Raw genomic sequence first — 12,020 nt, forward strand, 5'->3', positions numbered from 1 at the left:
TTGTGGTTATAGCCACATAATGTTAAAAGTAAATGTGTCAAATACTGAATGATACTGCATTTGTCAATGCCCATATTTAATAGTTTATGTATCATATATTGACATTATAACCTTCATTTTATTTCTTTATTTCAAATTTTTAAAAAACTGTAGGATAGCAAGCATAGCATTAGCTCTCAGTTTTTAAAATATGCTTTTAAGCCTAATTCTCAGTGTGATGCAATCACTAAATATGACTCTGCTAAAGGAGTCATATTATCAACATGACCTATTACACTAAGTGCCCCTCTGCAAATGAAACTGTAAAGTACCTAGTATAGTACCTGGCACAGAACAGCTTCTTTTTTTTTTTTTTTTTTTTTGAGACAGAGGTTCTCTCTTGTTACCCAGGCTGGAGTACAGTAGTGCCATCTTGGCTCACTGCAACCTCCATCTCCCGGGTTCAAGTGATTCTCCTGCCTCAACCTCCCGAGTCGCTGGGATTACAGGCGCCCGCCACCACGGCCAGTTAATTTTTTTGTATTTTTAGTAGAGATGGGTTTCACCATGTTGGCCAGGCTGGTCTCAAACTCCTGACCTCAGGTGATCCGCCCACCTTGGCTTCCCAAAGTGCTGGGATTACAGGCCTGAGCCACCACATCCGGCCGAACAGTTTCTTAAGAAATGTTCATTCCCTTCCCTCATACTAGTTTGTTGTTTTCTTTCTTGTATTGGTTCATTTGCTGTCATCTTCCCAAATTTATGGGATATGTATTTTCAGAATGTATCACTTTTTTAGGAGAACCTGTTTTTCACTGGGACTAGTTAAAAGGAATGAAGCCCTCATTACTGTATTTTGCTGCTTACTCCCAAATATTGGAAAACAAGAAAGACGCTAGGGGAAAAGTTATTCTGTTAATTTGAAGTCTTGATTTTTTTCTGGTATATTATGCTGAAGAAATGTATTGTTTTCCATCTGCAGATCCCTTGCAAGCAAAAAAAGTCAGAAAGGTGCCTCCTGGTTTGCCTTCTTCTGTAAGTACCTATCTTTTTTTAACTTGATGGTAAACAAACTGATTTCAAGTGTTCCGTATTACCTTGCTACAAGGGTACATTCGATTGATGCGAGTGGGCATACTTTACATAGTAATTGTTCAGTGCTTAACAAAATCATTGATTGAGGTAAATCCACATTTAATGTTTGGTTTTTAGATTTCTCTGCAATGATTTGTAGCTTACTCATATGCTCTTACTCCTTGTCCCTGTCATTTGAATTCCCCTCTTGGGAAGAGGACTAGGCCAGTAGCTGTCAAAGATGATCTCCTATGCAGGTCTTTTGATGTTTAATTAGTCATTATGTTGCTGAACAGGAGGACAGACAGAGATTAATAGCTGAAAATCTTAGAAATTTACATTTGTAATAATCCCAATGGAGCTAAAGACATTAAGATTCGGAGTACATGTTTGGCTCAGCTTGCCTCAGTAGGACTGAGGTTATTAATATGCATAAATCACCAAGTCAGATGTTCATTGTGAAGCCCTTGTGGGTTTTAAAGCCTTCATTAAGCCTTTCCTAACTTCAGCCTAGCATCAGGAAAGCTTTCAAGCAACTAGTTTGTTGATCCCTCTTTGCTCAAAAATGTATCCTTTGAGAATAAAGGGCTTTGATGAAGAAGGTTGGAAAGGTTTGGTGGAACAATCATTAATGGCCATGATAATCTAATACTGTAGGGGCGACTGTGCTATTAAATATACTTTATTCTTTAAAGGAGTAAAAGTACTTGTAAAGGAACCTGCATCGTAAATCTACCTACAATTTTTAAATCTCTGGTGCAAAAAACGGAAGTTTTTTTTTCTTCTCCCTTTGCTTAGAAGAAATGGTGAGTGAGGCTGTTTGATTGAGGCCCCAGTGCCTTGTAGGGTACATCTTTTTGTTGTGTAAATGGATGTTGGGCTTTTATTTGGCAGTACTTAACCCATGGGCGCAGGTGCCGCCAGATGAGTCAGCTCATCGAAGTATAGACTGAATGGAATATCCGGCTTGGCAAGTAGTAATCTAGAAGGAGCAGCATGGGTCTGAGCTTTTTAGTTTTTATTAAGGCTGAAGTAGAGATACAATCTTTTTGGTTGTCTGCCTTCCTTCTTTTCTGTGTTATTCCCCTGCCTTCTCTACCGTGTGATACATGAAAAGTCGAATTTGAAATCCTCTCTGTAACTCAGTTCCAGATGGATCTGAGTTTTATGCAGCCTAGGGCAGCTGTGCTCTGAACCTGCAGCCTACCTGGAAGGTTGGCTTGCAGCTGCAGGCATTCTTAAAAGCTTTTGCTTGCATAAGCACTTGGGCCCACTAGAGACTGCTTGATAAACAAAATGAACACAATGCCTCAAATCGTTATTCCCGAAGACAGGAATTTTTTTTCAGCAGCAGCTAAAAATAGTTGGCAATTTACATTTTAACAGTTGTGTGCTATGCAGGGGTAGGTGGTTCAACAGCATAACAGATGATTTCTGTTAAATTAACAGAAATCATATTAAAACTGACAGTACTGCTAAAACATGTAGCAGTGCAATTTTCTTGTAATTTATTACTGTAATTCAATGAGAGTAATAAAAGTTAAATTACACATTAATATTTAGTAGAACTATACAGGTTAAAAAAACAGATTAGTGAATGAAAAATTCATCTCATTTCTTAACCTGACATTAAGAAACAGTGTATGTTCAGTGTTCCATAGTTCTTTGATTTTAAAAGCAGTAGGCAAAATGGACAGAACAGTCTGGAAGGAGAGTAGACACTGGAGGTCACCAGCATTTCTTACATTCGTAATCGTAATAACATTCATTACTTGGAGGTAGTAGTTCTCTGTATTGTCTCAGGTATCTGGAACAAGTCACTGAATTCTGATGAAACTTGATTTCTTTGAGAACCATTAGGAAATTTTGCAGGCCAAGCCTACTTATATATTGTATTTTACTAGCTATATTAGTATATATTAAATGTTATTAAGGATGTATAAATAACACATTCATTTTAATTAACTGAAAGTATGTTTTAGATAAAATGCTGTGTTGAAACCTCAGGGTCTTTTTGTTTTATTTTGGTTTTTTTGAGGCAGGATCTCACTCTGTCACACAGGCTGGAGTGCAGTGACACAGTCACTGCAAACTACAGCCTTAACCTCCTTGGCTCAAGCGACCCTTCCACCTCATCCTCCCAAGTAGCTGGGACTACAGGGACAGGCCACCACGGCTGGCTTTTTTTTTTTTTTTTGTAGAGACGAGGAGGTCTCTGTCCAGGCCAGGATGGTCTTGAACTCCTGGGCTCTGTGCTTCTCCTGCCACAGCCTCTCAAAGTGCTGGGATTGTAGGTGCGAGCCACCACACCCGGCTGAAATCTCAAGTATTTAAAAAAGAAAACAGAAAAACCTTAAAGACAGATATTTTTCCCACTTCTAGGATTAACTGAAAAGATTTTAAAAGAAAATACTTTAATAAATAATGACAAAATATGTCCTAAGAACACTTAAGGTTATACTGTTTACCTTCTCAGGATCTAAAATAGAATTTTAAGTTGTGATTTCCTATTTCAGAGCTTTTATTGAAAAATATGCAAACTATAAACTTTTGACATGCAAACTATAAGAAAAATGGAGTATTAAAAATGAAAATTGACTATGTATATTTTATTTTATGATAATTTGAATATTATACTTTCCAAACCATATTGGAAATTTGGCAGTAGCATTCAGGATTTCATCAGTTTCCTACTTGTTCATTCTATCTTTAATCTGTAAAATATATGTGACTTTTTCTAAAGAAACAGTGAAAGGACTAAGTATCGCTGATACTGATACAAAAAATAATAGGCAGGGTTACTTAGCATGCAAAGCATTGATAATCTGTATAATTTGATCATGTAGCATTGATTAGAGACTTTTTTTGTAAACTGTTTTATATTTAGGTATCATAAGTGCATAACTCAGCTTCTCTGTTCCTCTCTGCAGAACCACTGACTAGTAACTTTTGTTTGTGGATGAAGGTCTAACTAAGCTGTATTAAATATCATTAGAGCAGTATAGTCAGTAACATTAAGTGAATGGTTCACCTAAATCTGCCCAGCTCAGTTACTGATTGGCTGTATAGCCTTAGATTAGTCAGCCCTTAGGATGTTTGGAGTGGGAAATTCGAAGTTCCTTTCAGGTCTAAATTGCTACATACTTACGGTTTTAAAACTGATATGCTCAATAAATAACCAAAAAAGAATAGTGAGCATAGTTTTCTTCCTCCTGATGAAGAAGTGATGTTTTTAAAGCACATGAGATTCTCCACTTGCTTTTCTAGACAGATTTAAAGATTGGGAAAAGTGGACTTTTGTAGCAGCAACAGTAGAATAATGCTTGGACACCGAGAATTCAAACATATACAAACACCATAATTGTCTTCTAGGACCTCACTATCTTATATGAGAAACAAGCATTCAGGGAATTAATTATATTGCAGTGAAGCAAGTAAGGGTGTGTACCAGGTGCTCTGGTGACATAGGGTAGGTAGAACTAACCCTACTATAGTGACTTCAGGAAGAGTTGACATTTAAGTTGTGTCTGGAAAGATGCGTAGCAGCTCATCTGTTAGAGAAGGAGAGAATGGACCAGACAGGTAAAAGGCCTGGAGGTGTGAAAAAATAAACACGTGTTGAGGTCACATCTAAAAGTACAGCATTACTAGATTATATACAAGTTGCAACCTTTGTAATTTTCCTATAGCAAACCCACTCTTCTACTCCAGAGGTAGATTGAGTGGGGGCACACATAAAATCAGTACAGATATGAGAAGAGATAAGTTGTCATAGCAGTCTATCCTGGATAAACAACTCAACTGTTCTGGCCAAGAGATAATGGAAGGCATTTATAGTTGTTAAAGTTTTATCTGGGAGTTTCCAAAGGCATGGGTGGTACTTTGGATTTGCAGGGTGTTTTACTTCCGTTTTAGGGTTCTTAAACCTCCCCTCCCATTCTCTAACTGCCAACTCTTGTCTTTGTTCTTTGCATGTACATCAGCTGTTTTTCATCTATATGAGATCTTCACTAAGATACAAAGTTCAAGGGAATTTTGAATCTCTGGGTGGGGATTTGGGGCAGGGTTTTTTCCTGGTAATTTGTCGGGGGAAAAAAAGGAAACATTTGTAATATATTTGTTAGCATCCTTTACAGCCTCAGTGTCACTGTGTTGTTAGTGGTGCAAGACTTCATGTGTGAGGAACTTTGTTAACCATTACCCATATCCTAATCTTCAACCTTTTGCCAAACAACTCTATAACTAATATTCCCTACTTACAAATAAGAAAATTAAGACTCAAAGACATAAATTAACTTGCCAAAAATCACACATAGGGCCAAGATTACAACCTAACTTAATATCAAACACCATTTTCTTTTTGAGTGTTAAAATCTGATTCTTTAATACCTTGGTTTATTCAGAAAATATCTTGCTTAGTATATTAAATTAAAACTTAAATTTATTCTGTCAATTATGTTTTTACTGATCAAATTTATTTTTATTTGGCTTTGTTGTTTAAGGACCTACAGTAGTAGAAAACCACAGACTTCCCAATTAAGCATGTGATGGATTTTATTTATCTGCCCTCAGCTTTTTTTTTTTTTTTTGAGACAGAGTCTTGCTCTGTCTCCCAGGCTAGCGTGCAGTGGCATGATCTCAGCTCACTGCAAGCTCCGCCTCCCAGATTCATGCCATTCTCCTGCCTCAGCCTCCTGAGTAGCTGGGACTACAGGTGCCCACCACCACACCCGGCTAATTTTTCGTATTTTTAGTAGAGATGGGGTTTCACCGCTATAGCCAGGATGGTCTCGATCTCCCGACCTCCTGATCCACCTACCTCAGCCTCCCGAAGTGCTGGGATTACAGGTGTGAGCCACCACACCCGGTCTGCCCTCAGCTTTTTATTTTGTAACCTTGGAGAAGTTGCTGTTGAGTTCTCGGAACCTCCAGTTTCTATTTGTAAAAGGGGATGATAATGCCTATCTCAGATGTTATTGTGAGAGTATTATGTACCTACTATAAGTGTGGTGTATCCTAGATACTCAGTAAATGTTCCTTCATTATTCTAGCTAGTTCATACCACTACAGCCTGAAATTTAAAGAAGTTTAGCATTTCATTTTTACCAAATTTTGATGAAAAGCAAACAAAAAAAAGTTTGAAGATATATAAAAAAGGATAAGTATTATAGTGAAATAAAAAGTTTTCACGTTACCTCCACCTGTGTATATAATGTATGTGCCTGGCACCTAATGACTGCATGGTAAATTGTAGCAGTTCCTTTTGTTGTTTAGAAAGCATTCACTTGCAGAAAAACAATCTACAAAAGGAAGGAAAACTTGTTGAATCAAATCCGGCTGCCCCTAGAATTCATTCTAATTATTTTTGTTTTCTGAACTCTCAGGAGTCGACACTTTTTTTTTCCTTTTCTAAATCACTCGTTGAACATCTTTATGGCCCTCTGAAGCATTTCTCAGATGCAGAAAAGTTTCTTTGCTCTTTATTCTTTATTTCTTAAGTTAGTGTTAATATTTCCAAACATAGATCATTTTCTTTTATGTGCTGCAGTAGATAATAGAAGAAGCAAGATATATCAGAACAAGTCTTTCCAAAATGTAAGTAAATACCTGGAGAGATTTGAAATCCCTTCCTAGACCCAAATACCTAAAGTTGTATTCTTGTTCTATGGCAATTGAAAATACCTTTTTCATATCAAATATTAACTCTGCATCAAAATGACGTGTCTTACAAGTTTTGAATGTAACTTGTTTGCAGTCCCGTACGTAGCCTGATGACATGATTGTTTCTTAATCAAGTGTCATGTTAAAGAGTGTATGTATATATTCCCACAAAAGCTGTTACTGTAATTTCTTGCTTAAACTCTCAAAGTGTAATTTACCCCATCAAGAAAAATATTTTGTCAGGGCACGGTGGCTGTAGTCCCAAGGCAGGAGGATCACTTGAGCCCAAGAGTTCAAGACCAGCCTGAGCAACCTAGTGAGACCCTGTCACTGCAAAAAAATTAGCCAGGTGTGATTGGCACCCCCTGTGGTTCTGTCTCCTTCGGAGGCTAAAGTGGGAGGATCACTTGAGCCCACCATGTTCACTCCATTGCACTCCAGCCTGGGTGACAGAGGAAGAGTCTGCCTGCAAATAAAAATTTGCTAGCTCTTCTCCACCACTATAAGGAGCTTTATTGTTTCTGACATGAATCAAAACAGCTTAGACTCTACTTTTTCTTGGTTTGATGCAGACAGTTACAAAGTTCAGTGGCCCTTGAATTAGTCACTGACTGTAATTTAGAAAGTGATGAGGCCAGGCATAGTGGCTCACGTAATCCCAGCACTTTGGGAGGCCAAGGTGGGAGTATCCCCTGAATCCAGGAGTTTGAGACCAGCCTAGGCCACATAGTGAGACCTTGTCTGCACACACACACACAAAAAAATATTTTAAAAAACTGTCCAGGTATGGTGGCATGTGCCTGTGGTCTCACCTACTTGAGATGCTAAGGCAGGAGTATCTCTTGATACTCCTGAAAGAGTTCAAGGCTGCAGTGGGCTGTGATTTCACCACTGCACTCCAGCCTGGGTGACAGAGCCAAGACTCTGTCTCAAAAAAAAAGAAAAAGAAAAGAGGTAAGAAAGTGGTGCCTTTCTTTCTCCTAAAGTTTTTATGGAATTTCATTTTGTTGGGAATGGCTCTTTTTAAAAAAATGTGAATTTTTAGTCATTTGTTATCGTAAATTTGAAATTGTAGGGATACCTTTTGAGACAATTGGAAATATCCTGAGGTATTCCCAAACCATAAAGACTGCTAGACCATGTCTAATAATCTAGCGTGCTGCTATACATACTAAGTAGAATAAGAATATTCAAAAGAAAAAAATACTAAATCCTGAGGGTGTCTAAACTGAAGATTTTTTTTTTTAATAGGAAAGAGATGACAAACAGAACTTTCTGGGATGGGTGGAAATGAATAATTTTAAAACTATGATTTAAGAGCTTGCTAGCCATCTGAACCAGTAAGAAAAAGGTCAAGAGTTAGAACTATAGAGAAACTGATAGCTCCAATTTATCCATGAAAATAGTAAGATGAGCAGCAAGAAAAATACTCTGTGAGTAGAGTCGTATGGAAGTCACTAGGAAGCCAAGATAACAGAGTGTGTTTATAGGCAATTATCCGGCCCGGCCAGGCGCAGTGGCTCTCACCTATAATCCCAAAACTTTGGGAGGTGGAGGCGGGCAGATCACTTGAGCCCAGGAGTTCGAGATCTGCCTAGCCAACATAATGGAACCCCGCCTCTATAAAGAAATACAAAAATTAGCTGGCATGGTGTTGTGTGCCTATAGTCCCAGCTACTCTGAGAGAGCGTTGCTTGAACCCTAGAGGTTGAGATTGCAGTGAGCCAGGATCACGCCACTGCACTCCAGCCTGGGTGACAGACTGAGACCCTGTCTTAAAAAAAATAAAAATAAAAACAAACAATTATCCAAGGCCCTTAAGACTAGCAAGAAATCTACTGATTCTGGAATAAATAGTATTTACATAAAGTACCAGCTTTTGCTGAACTTCATGAGTAAACCCTCCAGATCTTGAACATGAGTTAGAATAGGTATTTGCTTAGTTCCTTGGGCAAACAGCATAGAGAACACACAACAACTGTATATACTTAAGAGTTTCGGGCTGTTAGATGAGGTATCTCTATTTGAAGGCTACTGTGATACAAAATTTCCAAAGTGGCTTATTCAGTCTCTGACCTTACAGGTCAGACTAGCAGAAAAATCTTTGTATGTAAAGTACGTAAGTGGATTATCCTTTAATCCATTCCAAACTTATATTCAGTTTAGTCGTTAAGTGAAAGATTTTTTTCATACATTAATAAGAAGTAGCCACTGTTTATGCTGACAGTAACCACTGTTCAGAACAGTGTCAGAATTAATAGCCTTTAATGTGTAGTTCTAAGATGTTGATTTTTGTGAGAAGTCGGTAATGTCTTTGATGTAATTTCAAACCAAAAAGCAGAAGGAAAAGTAACCAGTGAGTGAGTCCTATGGATCCAGTTGTACTGATATGGCTGTATACAGTGATACTTGTTATTGTTATTTTCTGACTTCTCTATTCCTTTTAAAAGAAGAACATGGCTGCATTTCATTTACAGGTAGCTTTTAAGGTTTATTGAACTCTTTGGCTGCTGGTAAGATCTTAGAGACTTCACAAAGCAGATGTAGGATAAAGCCCAGTATGTGTGCATGTTTGTAACTCATATGGTTTTTAAAGGCTATATGGTTGAATTATGTAAATGCCTTAGTCTGTCAATACAATAAACTCTGGCCCAGTGCCCAGGGTCTTAAGGCACTAAAGAATACAAGGTAATGAGGCCAGGCGTGATGGCTTATGCCTGTAATCCCAGTGCTTTGGGAGGCCGAGGCAGGCAGATCACTAGCTCAGAAGTTTGAGACCAGCCTGGCCAACATAGTGAAACCCCTTCTCTACTAAAAATACAAAAATTAGCCGGGCATGGTGGTGCACACCTGTACTGACAGACACTTTATAAAACTTTATTTATGAAAATAAATAAAGCTTTATTTATGAAAATAGAAGTTTGCCAACCTGCACTAGATTTAAAGAAAAGGTAAATGTAGTTCCAGTGAAAAACAGACCTAAAGAGTTAAAAATAAAATTAAATACTTCTTAGTCCTGATTCTTGGTTTTATTAAGATCCACTACCTTGTATTCTCTTTTTTTTTTTTTTTTTTTTTTTCTGAGACAGTCTCGCTCTGTTGCCCAGGCTGGAGTGCAGTGGCACGATCTCAGCTCACTGCATCCTCCACCTCCTGTACTCGGAAGGCTGAGGCAGGAAAATCACTTGAACCCAGGAGGTGGAGAGTTTATTGTATTACAGACACTTAACTTAAACTTAGATATATTTGTGCCAATCACCATTTTTTTTCCTGTTCCAACTTTCTGATAGAACCTAAAGCTGGGCCATAGTGCCCAGCAGTTTGGGAGGCCAAGATGGGAGGAGTGTTTGAGCCTAGAAGTTCAAGACCAGCCTAGGCAACATAGCAAGACCCTGTCTCTACAGAAAAAAAAAAAAAAGAAAAGGAAAAAAAAAATTGGTCGTGGTAGTGTGTGCCTGTAGTACTAGGTACTCAGGAGGCTAAGGTTGGAGGGATGGCTTAAGCCTGGGAGTTTCAGGCTGTAGTGAGCTGTGATCACACCACTACACTCCAACCTGGGTAACAGAACAAGACCCTGTCCCCAAAAAAACAAAAAACAGAGGAACCTAAAGTTAAAGATAGTTGCTGGCAGCTTGGGAATCGGTTCCAACCCAAGTGTGACTGTGAAACCAATTCTTTTGAATCATGTGTCATGTTTCTGGTCTAAACATAAAACCTTCATACAAAAATTAAGAATATCTTCCATCCCTAGAAAATTCATTTTTTCAATGTTAATCCCTATGAATCTAAGTAAATTTTATATGGTTCTTAGTTTCCTTTTTGCTTTTATGAGGCTAGTATTAATAATAAATAATAAATAGGCCGGGCGCGGTGGCTTAACGCCTGTAGTAATCCCAGTATTTTGGGAGGCCAAGGCAGGCGGATCACTTAAGGTCAGGAGTTTGAGGCCAGTCTGACCAACATGGTGAAACCTCATCTCTACTAAAAATACAAAAATTAGCCAGGCATGGTGGGGCATGCCTGTAATCCCAGCTACTTGGGAGGCTGAGGCAGGAGAATCACTTGAACCCAGGAGGTGGAGGTTGCAGTGAGCCGAGATAAAGATCACACCATTGCACTCCAGCCTGGGCAACAAAAGTAAAACTCCGTCTCAAAAAACAACAACAAAAATAATAAGTAAGAACTAAGAAAACTTCAAGTTTTCTGACTTGAGCTTGACAATTTTTTAAACTGTCAAACTCATCATTATTTGAAATCATGATTTTCAGTATCTTCTCCAGTAACACAAAAGATATTTTAAAATTTCAAAAATCAGTAACTTAAATGAGATTTAGAAAACTTATTTGCTACTAGTATGGGCTCCATCTAGTAGATTCCCAGTCAGGAGAATATGAATCCCTTCTGTCAAAATCAACAAATATATACTAAGTCCTTATCGTGAATGAAGAACTATTTTAGACTTTAGGGATTTAAATATGAATAAAATATGGACCCTGACTTCAAGATTCTTTTTTTTTTTTTTTTTAAAGACAGAGTATTGCTCAGTCGCTCAGGCTGGAGTACAGTGGTGCGATCTTGGCTCACTGCAACTTCCACCTCCCGGGTTCAAGCAAATCTCTGCCTCAGCCTCCTGAGTAGCTGGGATTGCAGGCATCTGCCACCACACCCAGCTAATTTTTTTGTAATTTTAGTAGAGACGGGTTTCACCATCTTGGCCAGGCTGGTCTTGAACTCCTGACCTCGTGATCCACCCGCCTCAGCCTCCCAAAGTGCTGGGATTACAGTTGTGAGCCACCGCCCCTGGCCAAGATTCTTATAGTCAAAAGATAACCTTGTTCTTTGGACAAAAATATCCTTTTTTTTTTTTTTTTTTTGGAGACAGAGTCTCACTCTGTCACCCAGGCTGGAGTGCAGTGGCATAATCTTGGCTCACTGCAACCTCCACCTCCTGGGCTCAAGTGATCCTCACACCTCAGCCTCCCGAGTAGCTGGAACTACAGGCAAGTGCCACCACAACTGGCTAATTTTTGTATTTTTTTTGTAGAAACAGGGTTTCATCTTGTTGCCCAGGCAGGTCTCGAACTCCTGGACTCAAGCGATCCACCCACCTTGGCCTCCCAAAGTCCTGGGATTACATGCGTGAGCCACTGCACCCAGCCTGGAAAGAAAGAACTTAAAAAAAAATTTTTTTTTTTCTTTTGAAACAGGAATTCAGTCTGTGGTCCAGGCTGGAGTACAGTGGTGCCATCATAGCTCGCTGCGGCCTCAAACTCCTGGGCTCAAGCAGAGAGGCAGTCCTCCCACCT

General features: G+C 38.8%; 1 protein-coding gene across 26 annotated transcripts in view, besides 3 other annotated features; it reads left to right on the plus strand.

Moving 5' to 3' along the window:
- TCF12 (transcription factor 12) overlaps positions 1-12,020 on the plus strand; it is a 373,221-nt gene that overhangs the window by 278,722 nt on the left and 82,479 nt on the right. For all 26 annotated transcript variants that reach the window (NM_001322151.2, XM_011521960.4, XM_047432971.1 and 23 more), the window contains one exon: positions 962-1,014. In NM_001322151.2, coding sequence (NP_001309080.1) covers positions 962-1,014 — 53 coding nt within the window. The remainder of the gene's footprint in view (positions 1-961; positions 1,015-12,020) is intronic.
- Positions 1,058-1,727: an enhancer, noted in NCBI's record as "NANOG-H3K27ac hESC enhancer chr15:57490067-57490736 (GRCh37/hg19 assembly coordinates)". NCBI's record gives its function as "activates a minimal SCP1, AML or CMV promoter by ChIP-STARR-seq in naive H9 embryonic stem cells {active_cell/tissue: H9 hESC(naive)}" and the evidence as "EXISTENCE:reporter gene assay evidence [ECO:0000049][PMID:30033119]".
- Positions 1,728-2,397: an enhancer, noted in NCBI's record as "OCT4-NANOG-H3K27ac hESC enhancer chr15:57490737-57491406 (GRCh37/hg19 assembly coordinates)". NCBI's record gives its function as "activates a minimal SCP1, AML or CMV promoter by ChIP-STARR-seq in naive and primed H9 embryonic stem cells {active_cell/tissue: H9 hESC(naive and primed)}" and the evidence as "EXISTENCE:reporter gene assay evidence [ECO:0000049][PMID:30033119]".
- Positions 2,398-3,067: an enhancer, noted in NCBI's record as "NANOG-H3K27ac hESC enhancer chr15:57491407-57492076 (GRCh37/hg19 assembly coordinates)". NCBI's record gives its function as "activates a minimal SCP1, AML or CMV promoter by ChIP-STARR-seq in primed H9 embryonic stem cells {active_cell/tissue: H9 hESC(primed)}" and the evidence as "EXISTENCE:reporter gene assay evidence [ECO:0000049][PMID:30033119]".

Source organism: Homo sapiens, chromosome 15, assembly GCF_000001405.40.
Source record: "Homo sapiens chromosome 15, GRCh38.p14 Primary Assembly".
Classification (NCBI taxonomy): domain Eukaryota; kingdom Metazoa; phylum Chordata; class Mammalia; order Primates; family Hominidae; genus Homo; species Homo sapiens.